The sequence below is a fragment of the Homo sapiens genome, chromosome 7 (assembly GCF_000001405.40).
Source record: "Homo sapiens chromosome 7, GRCh38.p14 Primary Assembly".
NCBI lineage: Eukaryota > Metazoa > Chordata > Mammalia > Primates > Hominidae > Homo > Homo sapiens.
This window is the reverse complement of record NC_000007.14, coordinates 11,023,737-11,042,968: the sequence shown is the minus strand read 5'-3', so window position 1 is coordinate 11,042,968 and position 19,232 is coordinate 11,023,737. Positions and strand designations below refer to the sequence as shown.

General features: G+C 34.6%; 1 protein-coding gene across 4 annotated transcripts in view; it reads right to left on the bottom strand.

The window, feature by feature from the left end:
- PHF14 (PHD finger protein 14) overlaps positions 1-19,232 on the bottom strand; it is a 195,747-nt gene that overhangs the window by 126,650 nt on the left and 49,865 nt on the right. For all 4 annotated transcript variants that reach the window (NR_033436.2, NR_033435.2, NM_001007157.2 and 1 more), the window contains 7 exons: positions 14,151-14,288; positions 7,183-7,329; positions 6,281-6,551; positions 5,878-5,984; positions 4,114-4,209; positions 2,194-2,297; positions 155-286 (listed from right to left, as the gene is read on the bottom strand). Coding sequence is in view for 2 of the 4 variants with exons in the window: in NM_001007157.2 (NP_001007158.1) it covers positions 155-286; positions 2,194-2,297; positions 4,114-4,209; positions 5,878-5,984; positions 6,281-6,551; positions 7,183-7,329; positions 14,151-14,288 (995 nt within the window). In the remaining 2 variants the exon portion in view is untranslated. The remainder of the gene's footprint in view (positions 1-154; positions 287-2,193; positions 2,298-4,113; positions 4,210-5,877; positions 5,985-6,280; positions 6,552-7,182; positions 7,330-14,150; positions 14,289-19,232) is intronic.

Here is a 19,232-nt window from a genome sequence, read left to right as displayed (position 1 = left end):
GATTTAGTCACATAATGCTATAATAAATATTGATGACAGTCAATTTTAAAATGTGCCAAATACTTTATTATGAACAAATATAGTATTTCATCTTATACTGCTGAAACTAAGAGTAAATCAATTCAAACATCTAAATCTCCTCTATTTTACTCACCAATAACTGTTTTTGGTCTTTCTTGGCATCCTTGTAAGAGGAGGATCCAGACATCCAAGATGGTAATGTAGTTTACAGGTATCACACAATAAAAGAAGATGCTGATCATGGTTCTTCTTACAAATCCCACAACTTTTAATAAAGGCAGCAAGTAAAGATTTCAATAATAATTATCATAGTGAAACAGTTTACTTATAGCATATTTTTCAACTTACAAAATTTCATCTTGATTTAACTTACTATTTCTTCTGTTGAGATAGACAATTTCTTTCATTAACACATCTTTTTACAATGTCAGTAACTGTTAGTTCTAAATACTTTTGAGAATGTTAAAAATAGCTTGGATCTGGTAAAAATTTAAATACTACTAGAGTCAAACCTTCTAAAGAATTACATATATAAGGTATTTATCCTCAACATCATATTCATTTTAATTTTAGTTATTACTTAAAACCCATTTCACATTAGTTCATTTTTTCTCTAGACACATAAATTATAGAACAAAGTAATTTTCCAATTTTCTAAAACTATAAAAAAATTACTTCACAAACAGAAGGTAGTTTATTTCCTACCATTAGTTGTAAACCTTTCAAACAGTCTTCAACATGTAGATATACTGCAAGTATACATGAGTCTCTTTTCAATACTGAATTTTGCGTTTTAAAAATATACTAATTAAATTCAAAAGTAAAAAAATTAAAAACGCACACATCAATTGATATTTATTGCAAAGATTGTGGAATTTTGTGATTGCTACTATTATTTTAGGATCTTTTGGTTTCTCAGAAATCTAACTTCTCTTATGCAAAAAGGCAATTTAACTACACCTGCGTACACAAGCACCATCACCTGAAAATCTAAAGTATATTTATATTTGGAAAGTACAGAAAGCAATGATGGTTAGGTTTTTTTTTTAAATACTCCTAGAAAAAAGTCACACACACACACACACACTTAAAAAGCCAAAATAAATAAATAAATAACCAGTACCTGGTCTCAGTAAAAAAGAAAAATCACTTAAAATATATTCTGAAACAAAAATGAATTGTAGTCATAAAAGTCAGAAGCATAGTGATATTGCCTGATGGTTCCAAATGAACCAACCGTGTTTGAAAAAGCTGGCCTGAGAATGTGCTAATGTTCACATTGTACACTAAGACAATGTAGGCTTTTCCCACACTTCAAGGAAGTTATTTGCTATTACTTGTAGAGGGAGCCTCCAACAAAAAAACAGAAGGTAGTTATGGAGATTGATATTGTTGTTATTGCTACTATTTCTGAGAAAGAAATTTTGAGAAGAATATTTATGTATTTACACATGCATAACATATATGTATGCATATACATAGATAAATATACACACACATACATACACACACACACACACACAAAAACACCAGCATCTTCTAAACTTCTCCCACTTAATATAATTATTTGGGAAAAAGTGAGATCGTAACCTATTTATTTATGGAAAGAAGTCTTGACTATAATAAAATTACTATAATGGTGAACACCGAAAATATTGAGCAAAGAAAGTAAAAAACAAAAATACTTATGCGAACAAAGTGATTGCAACTGAGCATCAAGAGAAAAAAAGTGTAGAAACTCAAAACTAAAACTTATCTTCATTATCCACTGCCTACAAAGGCAATAGATTCATTCTATATATATACATATATGATACCCATCACTATCTAAAAAACAAACTCTACAATTCATTCAAGTAAAATAAAATATAAATGCTCATCTTTTATATTGTTTAAATTATTTAAGACAATAACTATAATGTTATCTAAAGTAATTTTCCAGTTCCCCAAAGGGTACTGCTCATTTCCATAGAGTTTAGGTTAAAACAGCAACAAAAATCTCCTCTATCATTCAAACTGGAATGCATCTTTTGAGAAAATGAACTTCAAATGCACTTAAATTCTGGTATGGACATAATTCATTCTCAAATATTTGCAGGATCTTCTTTCTAATAAGTATCAGTTTAAAAAAATACACAACATTATTCTATCATTATTAATTTCATTACTTGCCTATAAAGTACTGCAGGAAGAGTAGATGTCTTTTGTGTGCCTCCTTCTTTTTTACTTGGTTTTCTCTCCTTGGGTGCTCGCAAAATTGCCGGTATATTCAACTTCTATTGATTTGAACAAATGTAGTATATATTGTTTTAAGAAAGAAATAAAAGCAACATTTTCCTCTAATTGCCACTCAAGCCAAGTAAATATAGTAGGATTGTTAGGGGGAAATCTGCTTTATCAGATTTTACATTGGCAAAAAGGATTAAAATGAGCTTTTTTCTAATAGTTATTTCCATTAGAAATCTATAATTACAGACTTTCATCAATTTTCAGTGGTACACTAAAACATAAAAATTAAACTTCTATTTCAGCTTTCAAAGACAAAGACACATACGTAGGAGGTTTAAAAAAAACAAAACACAGTACACTTGACAAAAAGAATATTGAGGCCATTTATTTTCTTCAGCACCCCAGCTATATTGGTGTTCCATAGGTTAATTAGAAAAATTATCTTATTGGACCAAACTCTCCAACAAAGCAAGTGAGATTCTCTTTGGGTTTCTACTAATCTGTAGTATGCTGGCTTCTCAGACAGCAACCATCTATCAAAGTCATTTCTCAGTGGCCTGGTGGGCCCACATCTGTTCAACCAACTGAAAAAAAAAGTGTCATGCAAGCAGTATAAATGAATTCTACTTCTGCTGTGTATTTTACATTTGCAAAAGGAAATTTGCAAACCTCTGTTAAAAGTCTTTTAATAAATGAAAATGTCTTTTATGGTAGATAGTATTTTAAACAGGAGATTCTTATGAGAAAAACTTGCAAATCAAGCCAAAAGATAATGCTAGCTTGGCAAATAAACTAAAGCCTTATACTCAACATTAACTCCTCTAAATATTAAGTATAAAACATAATCTTCCAAAAATCCATCAACCAACCTATTAACAGGAACAAAGGCTGATCCTCCCAGAGGCGACTACTAATTCTCACCTTTTAAAACATTCTTTAGGATACAAGCCACACACATTCTTTTCACATAAAGCATCTTCAAAGCTGGTATAGCACAGTACAAATCAGTATGTATCACTTCTTAAAATATTTAAATAAGCTGTGTGATGAATTTGACTCTCCATAAACCTCTAAAACAAGTATAATGAAAAATATCTGTTCGAAAAGCTCCTTCACAAATAAAACTACTTTTTAGTGAAAGGACCACAAACAGTGGGTCTCCATCATCCTTAAAAAATAAAAAATATTTGCGAAAACTGTAATTTATCAATTATATACACAGTACTAAAAAAGGCATTCAAAGAAATCCATCTAACAATAATTATTCAACACCAAAAACTTTAACAGACTAAAGGTGTTCATGAATAAAGTTTTTTTTAATAACTACGATCACAGCTACTGTTAAAGGGGAAAAATACATTTTAACATTAAAGTTTAAAAAACCATCTCTTATACAGCTGAAAACCAAATTAACATAAAAATGAATATCTCTAGTTTGCCTTTTTTAATTTTAAATTATACATCCAAAGAATAGAAAAAAAAATACAGCATAAGGACAGGAAAGAAAAAAATGTGGCAGGGAATCTAAAACTGCTAAATTAAAGGAAAGAAGAATGTAGTAGGAAAAACTCATGCTTCAAGTCTTAAGCTTCATCACAAATGACAGGTCAATCAGTTAGAGCAAATGAAAAAATTTTGCACACAAGATAGCTGTTGAAACAACCAAATTAAACTAGAGGTTCTCAGTAGGCAGCTTCCAATGCTCTAGGTGTATTTCAAGCAGAAATCATTATCCCAAAGGATTAGGCCCTGATCAAACAGAATTCTTCGGTTAGTCAAATGACAGTTGTATCAAAAATCTGTTCTTTGAAAATCATATAGGGAGCAAGAACTGAAGGAGACAGCAATTGGAAAGAAACTAACCTGCCCTGTGATTCTGCCTAGTAAAGCCCATATTCCTTGTCCTTCACTTCGAAGTTTTCCATTCAGGTTTTGTAGTTCTTCTAAAGATTCACATAGCTACAAAGTAAGCCAAATTAGTAAACTTCATTAAAATATCTGACAATTTAAGAAATATCTACATTTCTATTCCACATATATATATATAATTTTTTTTTTTTTTGAGACAGAGTCTCACTCTGTCACCAGGCTGGAGTGCGGTGACACGATTTCGGCTCACTACAACCTCCGCCTCTGGGGTTCAAGCGATTCTCCTGCTGCAGTTTCCCGAGTAGGTGGGACTACAGGTGTGCACCACCACATCCAGCTAATTTTTGTATTTTTAGTAGAGACAGGGTTTCACCATGTTGGCCAGGATGGTCTCGATCTATTTTTTTTTTTTTTTTTTTGAGATGGAGTCTCACTCTGTCGCCCAGGCTAGAGTGCAGTAGCACGATCTTGTGTCACTGCAACCACCACCTCCTGGGTTCAAGCAATTCTCCTGCCTCAGCCTCTCGAGTAGCTGGGATTACAGGCACCCTCCACCACGCCCAGCTAACTTTTGTATTTTTAGTAGAGACGGGGTTTTGCCATGTTGGCCAGGCTGGTCTCAAACTCCTAGGATGGTCTCGATCTCTTGACCTCGTGATCCACCTGCCTTGGCCTCCCAAAGTGCTGGGATTACAGGCATGAGCCACTGCGCTCGGCCTCCATATATTTTTAATATATTCAAGCCACAATACCACTGAGAGACAAGGCTATCCAATTATTCAGCAGTATTTGTTGCTGTAAGCATTTTGTTTTCTGCTGGCATTTTTACTAATAATGGTAACTACGTTTATACCTTCTTTTACAGTTTGTTATATAACATCATGTTCTGCTAACTAATCCTTGTGACTCTCTCAAGATGTATTTCCACTATTTTCCCAATGAAAAAAACTAAGGATCATAGAGTTTTTGTGAGTTGGCCAAGATCACAGAACTAGCAAGAATCCCCAGGTCCTCTGAATCTAATTCCAAGTACTCTTTTTACTACACAGTGTAGCTGATTATTGGAAACGTACTTCCTACTATTTTTTTATGACTTAAAATGTTTTCTAACAATAAGTCAATACCCGTTTTATATGTCAAGTTATACTTGGTATAACATTTTAACCACATTTTGCTTTTATAAGATACTTCTTTTTGAATCTTTTCTCATTACGATGAAGAGGTACATGAAAATTCAAATTTGGAAATTTTTATTCCAAACATTATAATATAATTCAAGATAAATAATAATTTAAAGAAAAGTTTCTAAATTTTCTACAAACTTAGAAAGTGAAGCTCTATAGCAATGTTTATTGATTAGAAATAGAGAACAGAGTCACATGAGTTGGCCTCACACCAACTGACTTCATTTGTCAAGTCTGTGACTTGACTACTTGTGTGAACCTGGGCAAATTATTTAACTTCTTCAGGATTCAGTTTTCTCCCTGAAAATGGAAGCAATGATTATAACCTACACTATAAAGTTAAGCTGGGAATTAAATAATACATGTAAAGAGATCAAAATTATGCCTGGCACACAAAGTGCTCAGTAAGAGACAGTGATGATAATGAAGCTAATGAGGAGTAGGAGTTATAGGGAAGAGCCAAAGAGCTCCAGAAGAAATTAAAAACAAAACATAAAAGAAATGCCATACATTCACAAAAGAAATCATCAGTAAGATCTATCACATTATGTTGCATATTTTGTAGCTAACTTACCTTATTATATTCTACATGAAGCTTTTCTTGTTCATTCTCTAATTTATCTTTTATATTCTTTTGTTCAGCCATATTTTCCTGAATTTGAATCATGCGCATATTTCTCTCTATTTAAATGAAATATCGAATTTTACTTTAGTAGGAAGTAAAAACTGACATAGGAAGAAACTAGCTATAAAGATGATCACATTGATAAACCTACATAGTTTAAAACTTTTAAGTATATTTACAAATAAATGAACCTAGCATTTTGTAAAAACCCACAACATATTAGGAAAATAAACATCCCTCTATGATATATGCAGCATGGCTAATAAATTTCTAAAAATTAACAGTATATCAAACATTTTCATTAACAAATTGTTCTCAGTGAAAATGTGCATGTACCAGTGTCTATACTGACCAAAATAATAATTCACAAAATCTGCAGTGAGAGCTGGTTGCTTATGTTTTCTCCTTCCATCCACACTAGAACTAGTATCTGAATTGTCCACTGGAAAGATATCTGTACTGATCCCCATGAGTTCTGCTTTCCGCATAAGTTTACGAATAGCTGAAGCACTGCTGGTGAGTGGTCTGGGCAATTTTTCCCTTGGAACCCAGGCCTGGGGTCTGGTAGATCGAGCTAGTTCTGCTTTGGCACGATACTGCTGAAGCCGGGCATTGATCCTTGCCTATAAAAGAAATGTATTCAAATTTTAAAAGATAATAAAATGAAACATGTTCCTTAAGATTTTTACATTGATTTTTATTCCCATGTTCACAGAAAGATAATCAGAACTTCTCACACCAAAGCAAATTATAGGTATGAATGATCCTTAAGGTATACTGTATAATTTTTGAGTTACAATAAACTATATCTGCCCCTAGTAACAACTGTCCTAACTTATAATCAGAGTTTTGAGAAACTAATTAAGCTGAAGTTTCTCTTCTTAATAACTGCTATTGTCTCCATAGGTTTAATGTATATAAAATTATATTTTAAATATAGGCAAACTGACTAAATCCTTTGAACAAACTGAAACAAGATGTAATAAATATATTGCACTGATAGAGTAATTTCCTCACAGTCACATTTTTCAATGTGAAAATTTACTTTATAAAGGACTGCTCTGTTTGACTAAATGAGGAGTACTGTATTCAGCCAAAAATTATACTCACTATTTACCTTAATCACAATCCATTTCCTAGGTAACTAACCAAACTTCCTATTATACGTCACATGTCACTGGAAGCCACACGAGACGTAAAATCCTTACATAACCTTAAAACAAAAACATACGGGTTTTGACATGAATCCCATACCTGTGCTTCTGGTGATAGTTGCTTCTCTCTCTCTTGCAAAGACATTTTACAATAGGACTGTAGAGCCAAGTAGTTTTTTCTCTTCCACTTTCTGTCTAACCTATCTGCATGTTGCTTACAATAAGCAAAGAATGGATCTGCTATATCCTATACAAAGAAAGCACAGAAAAATAGTGAACATTTGTACTCCCAAGAGTCATAAAAGACCTAACACAAAAGAATATTACTTCCTTTTCAAAGAATCTACTAGTGCTAGTTACATCTAATAAATTACAAAAATAATTTTTGTACATAATGACAAAAATTACTTCTTTAGAAACTTGATCTTGTATGTCAACTTCAAATTACCAACAACGTTTTTCTTTAAAGGGCCTGCAGGTTTAAAGATATTGAAATCAAATATAATGTATTATTTGGGTGTACTTGTATAGTAGCCCTTCAATATCCATGGGGGACTGGTTCCAGGACCCCCCAAGGATACCAAAATCTGTGGATGCTCAAGCGTCTTATGTTAAATGGTGTGGTATTTGCATCTAGTTTACATGCATTCTCCCACATATTTTAAGCAGTCTCTACATTACTTATAATACCTAATACACAAATGTAAATGTGCAAATAGTTGTTACACTGTATTGGTTTTATATTTGTATTCTTTTTTATTACGCTTTTTTTTTTTCAAACATTTTCGATCTGCAGTTGGTTGAATCTAAGAATGTGTAATCCACAGACACGGAGGGCCGGCTGTATTTTTTTAAAAAGTCACTGTTTAAAACAAATAGGATTTTAATAATCTTAAGTAGAAATAATCATTAAATATTAAAGTTATGCATAAACTAATATTGCAAAACAACAACATTCAACTAGCCAACAAGATAAGTGTGGCATTTCTAACTGGCTAACAATGGACAGATTCTACTGAGGATAAAAATAGAATTAAGGGCCAGGCGTGGTGGCACATGCCTGTAATCCCAGCACTTTGGGAGACCGAGGCAAGCAGATCACTTGAGGTTGGGAGTTCGAGACTAGCCTGGCCAACACGGCAAAAGCCTGTCTCTACTAAAAGTACAAAAATTAGCCAGGCACAGTGGCATGTGCCTGTAATCCCAGCTACTCAGGAGGCTGAGGTAGGAGAATTGCTTGAATACAGGAGGGAGATGTTGTAATTAACCGAGATCGCGCCACTGCACTCCAGCCTGGGTGACAGAGCGACAGTCTGTCTCAAAAAAAAAAAAAAAAAAAAAAAAAAATAGAATTAAGAAATTCTAAGCCCTGTCAATAAAAAAATTTAAGTTATGCCCTTAACTCTTTCCCTAAAAACTCAAGTGGAATTACAGCTCTCTCATAGCCTAACAGTACATTTTCATTCATAAAAAGTAGTGTACAAAAAAGAATATTTATTCTATCAAAAACAACTTGTAAAGATGTAGTACAAAAAAGTAATTTACAATGTAATTGCTAACAAAACAACAGGCTGTTCATTCTTTATGTCTGTCCCAAAAAGGAACAGTAAACATAAGCTATTAGTTTTTCTCTAAGTTATGTCAAAAGTGTCTCTAAGTAGAGTTTTACAACCCAAAGAGAAATGACAACACTACCGAGGAGAGACATATAAGAACAGAAAGAAAAAAAAATCTAATGTGTCCTTAATATTAAAAAAAAAGCATATGAGGCAATTCTGTAGTGTGATATCTATAGATGTCACAGTACAGCAATGTGTATCACAGAATTTGAAGACATAAAAACCCGGATACAAATCTTGGCTCTATCATTTACAGGCTATGGGACTTCAAAAAATTGCTTAACATCTCTGGGCCTCAGTTACCACATTAGTAAAACAGGGTTTACTTACAATTACTTCATATAGCTTTAAAAATTAAATACAAAAATTAATTAGGAGACTACATTAACACATACAAACAGCTGCTTTCTCATGACATGCTCTAAATCTTGGTGACAGAGATGTTAAATGGAAATAAAGATTATACCGAACCTCAGCCCAAATACCCAGATCTAGATAATTATTCTAATGTTTCAAAGTAAATGAGGTTGAAATTGAGTCATTAGAGATAGGATTCATGCTTGCATAGGTGAGTTAAGCATTTGGACCAAGACTCTGACTTAAGAAAAACACCAATACTTACTATGGCAGAAACTACTAATTGTCTTACAATATCCATTCTTCCCATTAGTACTAGACCCCTATGAGTTTTTACTGGGCATATGGCTACCCTGCTAGAAACTATCTGATCCAGCCTCCCCACAGCTAGATGTGGCCATGTGATTAAGTTCTGGCCAATAAGTTGTATGAAATGCCCAGACCATGCCCTTGAAAGGAAGCTGCCTACTCTTAACCTCCTCTTTGCTACTTCCAATGAGGAAGAATCCAGTCAAGATGGTGATAAACCATCTTTGACTGTGTAGGAGAGTGCAATAGACTAAAGGAAGGTGAAGCAAGAAGAAAGAAGGGAACTGATCCCTGGAACCAAACTCCCCTCAGTATCCAATCCGCCTGGAATTGTATATTAGAGTGAATTCAACTTCTTCGTTTAAGCAACTCGTTACTTGGTTTTGTTAAACCAGTCAAAATAATGTCCTAATTAATGCATTGGTTGACATGGAATATCCCTTCAACCTGCTTGGAGAAATGGAGCTTTCAAGATCCTACTCCCAGTGGAAGACAGAAAGGGAAAAACATGTTTCTGAATATCTACCATGAAATAAGCACATGCGCTTTTGTATATACTATCTCTTTAACCTTCACCACTACCACATGAGGTGGGTTCTACCATTTTAATATCAATTTTATGGATAGAAAACTGAAAGCCAGAGAGGTTAAGTTGCTGAACCAAGACCTATGTCCAGTATGTAAGATCCATCTTCCTTAACCATTACCTGACTGTCATCAGATTCATTTAAGGAGATTTCTAAATAGAGGTAACTAGAGCCCAACTCTGCAAATTCTGACTTAGCAGAGCTGAGGCAAGGGCCTTAAATACAAATGCCTTGAGAAGCAGTAATAGTCAACATAAATGGGTGAAGGAGACCTAAAAGATGCCAGAAAAATATAAGACAAAAATGAATGATGAGAAGCAGTTAGTAAATGCTGGGGCCTGTGAGAACTTAGAGCCTGTGGCAAACTGGAATGCCCCATCTAAAGTCATTTAAATTCAAGGTTTTCTTTTTTAACTCTACTCCTAACAAACAAAATCCATCTATGGATTAAGTTTAGCTTGTGGTCCTCTAGATGCCATGATTTGGTCTAGAATCTTAAAATCTTTTTTTTTTTTTTAAACAAAGCTCCCTGGGTAAAACTGACATAGCAGATCAAAGTTATATAAACTGAAAGAAGACACAACTTCGGTCTTGTACATTGAGAACCTTACCTGGCACTTGTAAAAACAGTGTATTTGAAGAACGTACCTACGCTTTACTGGTATCTTAATAGTAAAATTGATGTGTTTACTGAAACCAGAAACATTTAAATACAATAATAACCTAATGGCATATCAAACTTATCTTCTTAATTATGCATTATCAATATTCTTGTCCACCCCACCTCAGCCATATATGCTCTAATAGAATGAAATCTTGAACTTCTGGGCTCAGCAATCCTCCCACCTCAGCCTCCTGAGCAGTTAGGACTATAGGCACACACCACCACACCTGGCTAATTTTTACATTTTGTGTAGAGATTGGGTCTTGCTATGTTGCCCAGGCTCATCTCAAAATCCTCTTGAGGCCAGCCTCAAGAGATCCTCCTTGGCTTGGCCTCCCAAAGTACTGGGATTACAGGCGTGTGCCACCACACCCGGTTTTATATTGTTTCAAATATAATTTTCTACAGAACAGAGTACAGCAATGTTCAATAGCACCAAATTATACTTTAATTACAGAAGAAACTACCATATGGCTTACTTGGACTATAAGTAACTTTAGACTATATAATGTAAAACATAGTAACATAAGTTGTAGTCAGCATAACTGAGCCTGCACAATAGCTCGGTATTTTTTTACTTATTTATTTAAAATTTTTAGAGGTAGGGTCTCACTCTATTCTCCAGGCTGAGTGCAGTGGTGAGAACATAGTTCAATGCAGCCTCAAACTCCCGGGTATATGTGATCCTCTCACCTCGGCCTCTCTAGTAGCTCAGACTACAGGCAACATCACACCCAGCTAATTTTTTTTTTTTTTTTTTGGTAGAGATGGGGTCCTGCTATGTTGCCCAAACTGGCCTCAAACTCCTGGCCTCAAGCAATCCTCTGGCCTTGGCCTCCCAAAGTGTTGAGATTACAGGCATGAGCCACTGCACCCAGCCCTATAGTCCAGTTTTAAAAATAAGATGTTGTGTCATAACATGGTTTTAAATATCCTTCTAATAAAGCATGTTGTGTCATAACATGCTTTGACTATTCTTAATAAATCTGGAATATTCACAAAGTAGATGAAAAAGAATAGAAATGTCACATGGATTCTCACCAATGAGATAAAGGACTATGTCAGAAGGCTATACAAAGTCATAAAAAATACAGAAAGGTACACAATGTCATTAGATGAAACTGATATGTTTATTCTATTTTTCAACCTTTTTTTTTTAACAGCCTATATAAAACCACCATGAAAAAGTAGTAAATCCAACTTGATATAGTCTTTTGAAAAGTTCCCTAGAATGTCTAAAGAGTATAAAATGGAAATAGAAGGCAAGATATGCTCACAAACATAGATCTATTTTAGTTTAAAATGTGTTTCTTAATTTTAAATGCTATTACATTACATAAATCCTTATGTACATAAGTACAACCATCTAGAAATAGACAAGACAGAATGATTACTGTCAAATGCAAACTTCATTAATATTGATTCATGCAATATTCTGGGTTTTGAAATATCGTTCAGAAAACATTTAGAATTTTCTAATTCTCTGTTTATAACAAGAAACCAGTAACATATATATGTAAATATGCTTTAAATCATTTCCCCCCAAAACAACAGCACACTGAGTAAGGTAGTGAATAGGGAGAAAAGTTGCATTTTATTATTCCAGCATCCAGGGCTCCCACCTAATTAATCAAGGGACACAGCAAGGCAAGGAAGATGCCTCAGGGCTAATTCTCACATCCTAATGTATCTGTTTCCCTGTAAATTTCCTCAAATTAGCTTATAGGTAAGATACACAGACCACAGAATGTAAACTATGTAGCTTAATATTATGTTTAGTTTCATTTAATTTGCATGCCTTTAGACGGAGATGCACTCTCCAAATCCCATAACTCCATTACACCCCACTGTCCCAAACATGGCTGCTTCACACATTTTTGTTAATTAGCTGCCATCTTGCCAAAAATGATGACATATGATGCTGTGCAAAGGAATCCAAACTACCATAGTAAAAAAGAAAGCTCTCCACTGGCTCCAAAAGCACCCTACTAACCGCAAAGCTCAAAGTTTTCCAGAAGTAGACAACTAACCTTATCCTATAGATTCCCTGATCCAAGTATTTACGTAGTATTTATCTGGTCCTCTAACTCTTACCTGTATTGCCCTCTCGTACTTTTGCCCACCATCCTGAGTTGTAGCTATGAGGAATCCAGACTACCTTTACCGTATAATTATAACTCTATGTCTACCTAGTAGCTGAGAAGATGCTCACTGTTCATCTAGTAGCCTTCATCAAAGTACAATTCCTTAAAATCAAGAGACTGGAACAGCTATATAAATGAAGAGATTGGAACAGCTATATGTATCAAAAACAGCTACATGTATCAAAAATACAATTCCTATAAGATCTGTTTATTCATAAAATATATCCTTCAAATTTTTTTCTACAATTTTTCTTCATCAGAGTATCTTTGCTCACTTTCTGGAAATGAAATAAATGTACTAAGATAAAATCTCAGCACAATAAACAAAATTTACCCAATAAAAGAAAAAACATAACAAGGAGAGGCTTAGACTATTACCATAAAGCCATCATGAATGTGCAATAAAAATTACTAAATAAACATTCATTACTATGTAAGCTTAAGGAATGAACTGAACCTGCTCACAATTTGTTAACATTCTTAAAAATTACTGAGGACTCCAAAGGGTTTATGTGAGTTATATTTTAGACAGTTACCCTATTAAAAATTAAAACTGAAAATTTTTTGCAATATTCATTAATTTATTTTAAATAATGGGTCCATTACCGAAGTATACACTTTTACTAAATACAATTCACATACACACAAAAATTGAGTGAGGAGAGTGGCACTGTTTTACATTTTACATACTAATGTCTAGATAACTGACATAAAAAAAGGTAGCTGGATTCTCAAAATTGTTTCTATATTCGGTGGGTTCTGTTATACTGTATGTAATCTCTGGAAGTCTCCACTAATACTCATGAAAGAACAGAGTTCAGAAAAGTAAGTAACATTTTTATAGTGTAATGAAAATAGTTTTAAACTCAGAATACTTGAACGAATCTTAACCAGTCCCCAAACACTGAAAACAACTGATTTTTTAACGTAAAGCCAATAAATCTGAAAGGAATATTATGGAATTAAAAGTAACAGTAAAGAGATAGTAACAGAGATACTAAAGACACAGTAATGATTTTATTTAAAGAAAAATAGAGCAAGGTTACCCAAATACAGTTTCAGCTTCTCGTATAAAATATGCTATTTTTTTTTAACTATAATTCATGGGGCTGAAATGCCGACATTTTAATGCTTTAAGACAACTTGGATTATCTTTCATTTTATCTGTCAGATCTCACTATAAAAATTATGTTTTCTGAACGTCTGACTAGCTTTAAAACTGACAAAACTCATAGGCATTTACTCTTAAAGTTTTAGAACAGTGATCTTGGCAAGAACTTTAAGAATAAATGTTAAAATTTCTTTTATTATTTACACTTATTATAGGACATAGAGTCAAAAGATATCTTGTGAACATGTTCACCAACTATGGGTTTAAATAAACCTACCTCTTCCGCCGCTGCCTCTGAAAGCAGACCTTCCTTTTGAGCACAGGTCACATGGAAATAGGCTCTGCACATCCCTGCATCACAGCTAATGCAAACCCCAGTTCTAGCAAAGCGAGGGTCTTCACAAAAGCTACACTCCTACAACAAAGTAACAGAAAAATTCTCAAAGCAAACTTATTTCCAGACTAAAGACTGCATTCTCATACAAAGTGTCCACTAAATATTTAAAATGCTAAATACAAATAATGAACCAATTATGTACCAATACAAACAATAATCATAGGCGAGCCAAGAGTTTATATGAAAAAACGTAATTACCTATATGGTTCAAATAAATCAAAATTCAACTAATTTAATGATAATAAATAATAATACAACCATAATTAAAATTATTTGAGGACTTACTATGTGCCAGTCACTATTCTAAGCACTTTACATATACAGACAGTCCCCAGTTTACAACAGTTCCACTTCTAATTTTTTAACTTTACAATGTTGCAAAAACAATACACGCTCAGCAGAATCCACACTTTCAGTACCCATACGACCATTCTGTTTTCCACTTTCAGTAGGGTATTCAATAAATTACATGAGATAGTTAACATTTTATTATAAAATAAAGTTTTGTGTCAGATGATTGTGTTCAAGTGTAGGCTAATGTAAATGTTCCAAGCATATTAAAGGTAGGCAACACTAAGCTGTGCTCAGTAAGTTAGGTGTATTAAATTAATCTCAACTTAAAATATTTTAAACTTACAATGGATTTATCAGGATGTAAACCCATCATAAGTCAAGGACTATATGTATAAATATATGTAATCATTAAACACAACTACTATGAAGAAGAGATACTATAACTATTCCCATTTTACACATGAGGAAATTAAAGTAAAGACAAGTTAAGAAATCTGCTTGCCAAAAATAACAAAGAAAGTAAATGTAAGGCTTCAAACCAGGACAATCTTACTTTAAAGCCCACCATCAAGCTATACTAATTCTTAAACAATATAAAATTGCTTGGAAAAGGAAACAAGAGACCAGAGAAAATCCAACAAAAAATCTAGGCATTACAACCTAGAAATCATGCATGTTTTAAATATCTTTAAGACAACTAAAAGTAATTTTAGGTTAATAATCAGGTGAAATTGGTAGTAATATACAACACAGTCAATTATGTACATTCTTTCTGTATAAAAAGAGAAAATTTATAAAACCAAGGTATGAACTGTTGAAATTACCGCAAATCCTCTCAGATTTATTTATTTTTTTATTCCTTTAACTATCTCTTAAAAGAAAAAGGGGGAATTAGCTAGTCTAAAAGTTTAAACTACTCTGGTAACAGAAATCTTCATAAAAGAAAAAGATGTTAAATTATGAAAGACTGACAATGGACAATTAAAGAATTGTTTAATATAAGTATTCAAAGTGAACTACATAAGAAGGAAACAAATACAAGGAAAACTTAAAAACTTCAATAGTCAAATCCTGACATCCTACTGCCTAGTTAATATAATTTCTCTAATAACAGTAGAACATAAATGGTATAATATACTGGCAAATAGCAATCTAAACATGAGATTGAGCAAGAGAGATAAAGAGAAATTAAATTATTTAAAGGATGTCCACACTGTGAACAGAGACATATTGTTTAGATTATCTGGATAATTTCATGTAATATGTTGAAATTGAGCAAGGGATTTCAGAGTGAATATAAGGAAAATATTCCTGACAGCCTTTTTAGACTATAAAACAATCTATCAAAGAAAACAGAATCTTCCTCAATCGCCTGAATCATTTAAAATGCTAGTGAACTAAGCAACTGAGAACACAGGAGAACATAATTCAGATTGGAAAATGAGTAGACAATGAGGTCTAGAAGGCTGTCCCAGTCATGATTTACAACATTGTATCTGATTTTGCAGAGAAGCCAGAGAGTACCTAATTTTCAACTCAGTTTCCCAGTGATGTTTTCTTAAAGCAAAATAAGCAAGAGGAAATTAGCCTGGACCTGTTTCTGTACATGGAACTTTACACAAGGTGAAATTTAATTTAGAAAAATTCCTTGTAATAAATTAAATTTAAAAAAAAAAAAAAAACAAGCTTCAACTAACCACAACAGCCAACTAGACATCAGATAACGTAACTGGACACTTTCTACTAAATCATACCCATACAGAAAAACAACACAGCTGTAGTCAATTAAGTAATTTCCTTACTTTGGTTCCACATTCAGCCAATAGAAGCCCACTGCTCACACTATTGAAGTGGGCATCTCTGAGCCTTTTCTAGTTCTAAGTGCTGCCCAATAAATACATCTGTTAATGCTCAAATAACCTCTGTTAAATTTACAAGCATACATCAGAGATAACCCAAGTTCAGCTCCAGACCACTTCAATAAAGTATCACAATAAAACAAATCACGAGAATTTTTTAGTTTCTCCATGTATTTTCAAGTTAGGTTTATACTATCTGTAGTCTATTAAATGCATAATAACATTATGTATTTTTAAAATGTTAAGTACATTAATTTAAGAATACTTTATTGCTAAAAAATGTTAATGATCACTTGAGCCTTCAGCAAGTCATAATCTTTTTGCTGGTGAAAGATGTTGCTTTGATGTGGATGGCCACTGACGGATGGGGGTGGTGGTGGTTGCTGAAAGTTGGAGTGGCTGTGGCAATTTCTCTCTCTTTTTTTTTTTTTTTTTTGATGGAGTCTCACACTGTCACCCAGGCTGGAGTGCAGTGGTGCAATCTCGGCTCACTGTAACCTACACCTACTGGGTTCAAGTGATTCTCCTGCCTCAGCTTCCTGAGTAGCTGGGGTTACAGGCACGTGCCACCACGCCCAGCTAATTTTTGTATTTTTAGTAGATACAGGGTTTTGCCACTTTGGCCAGGCTGGTCTCGAACTCCTGACCTCAGGTGACCCACCCAACTCGGCCTCCCAAAGTGTCGGGATTACAGGCGTGAGCCACCGCACCCAGCCTGGCAATTTCTTTCTTTTTCTTTTTCTTTTTTTTTGAGACGGAGTCTCGCTCTGTCACCTAGGCTGGAGGGCAATGGCACGATCTCGGCTCACTGCAAGCTCTGCCTCCCGGGTTCACGCCATTCTCCTGCCTCAGCCTCCCAAGTAGCTGAGACTACAGGCACCTGCTACCATGCCCGGCTAATTTTTTGTATTTTTTTAGGAGAGACGGGGTTTCACCGTGTTACCCGGGATGGTCTTGATCTCCTGATCTCGTGATCCACCCACCTCGGCCTCCCAAAGTGCTGGGATTACAGGTGTGAGCCACCGTGCCCGGCTGGCAAGTTCTTAAAATAAAACAATGAAGTTTGCTGCATAGATTCATCCTTCCTTTTATGAAAGATTTCTCTGTGGCACGTGATGCTATTTGACAGCATTTTACCCATGGTAGAACTTCCTTCAAAATTGGAGTCAATCCTCTCAAACCCTCTTCCTGCTTAATCAATCAAGTTTATGTAATATCCTAAGTCTTTTGTTGTAATTTTAACAATGTTCATAGCATCTTCACCAGGAGTAGATTCCAACTCGAGAAACCACTTTCTTCACTCATCCATGAGAAGTAACTTCTCATCTGTTCAAATTTTTATCATGAGATCGCAGCAGTTCAGTCACCTTTGGCTACACTTCTAATTCTAGTTATCTTGTTATTTCTGCCACATCTGCAGTGACTTCCTCCACTGAATTCTTCAACCCCTTCAAAGTTATCCATGAAGGCTGCAATCAACTTCTTCCAAACTCCTGTTAATATGGATATTTTGACCTCCTCCCATGAATCATAAATATTCTTAATGACATCTAAAAAAGTGACCCCTTTCTAGAAGGTTTTCAATTTACTTTGCCCAGATCCATCAGAGGAATCACTATGTATGGCAGCTATAGCCTTATGAAATGTATTTCTTAAATAATCAGACTTTAAAGTCAAAATGACTCCTTGATCCATGGGCTTCAGAATGGCTGTTGTGACAGCAGGCAGGAAAACACATTAATCTCCTTGTACTTCATCAGAGCTCTTGGGTGACCACCAGGTGCACTGTCGATAAGCAGTAATCTTTTGAAAGGAATCTTTTTTCTGAGCAGTAAGTCTCAACAAGGGGCTTAAAATATCCAGTAAACCATGCGGTACACAGATGTGCTGTGCACAGGCTTTGTTGTTCCATTTACAGAGCACAGGCAGAGTAGATTTAACATAATTCTTAAGGGCTCTAGGATTTTCACAATAGTATAGGAGCACTGGCTTCAACTTAAAGTCACCAGCCGCATTCACCTCTAAACAAGAGAGACAGCCTGCCCTTAGAAGCCAGATAGTGACTTCTCCTCTCTAGCTATGGTAAGTCCTAGATGGCATCTTCTTCCAATAGAAGACTGTTTCATCTACATTGAAAATCTTTGTTGAATGTACAAATCTTCATCATTTGTCTTAGCTAAATCTTCTGAATAACTTGCTGATGCTTCTCCATCAGTACCTGCTGCATCTTCTTCATCTTTTATATTACGGAGATGGCTTCTTTCCTTAAACCTCATGAACCAACCTCTGCTACCTTTCAACCTTTCTTCTGCAGCTTCCTCACCTCTCTCAGCCTTCACAATATTGAACAGTTAGGGTCATGCTCTGGATGAGGTTTTGGCTTAAGGGAATGTTGTGGCTGCTATGATCTATCCCTACTATTAAAATTTTCTCCATTATCAGCAATAAGGCAGCTTCACTTTCTTATCATTCATGTGTTTGCTGGAGTAGCACTTTCAATTTCCTTCAAGAGCTTTTCCTTTGCACTGACATACTGGCTATTCGGCAGAAGAGGCCCAGCTTTTGGCCTACCTAGGCTTTCGACATGCCTTCCTCACTAAGCTTAATCATTTCTAGCTTTTAATTTAAAGTGACAGATGTATGACTCTTCCTTTCACTTGAACACTTAGAGGCCACTGTAGAATTATTAATTGGCCAAATTTCTTTTTCTTTTTTTTTGAGATGGAGTCTCACTCTGTCGCCCAGGCTGGAGTGCCGTGGCGCAATCTCAGCTCACTGCAACCTCCACCTCCTGGGTTCAAGCGATTCT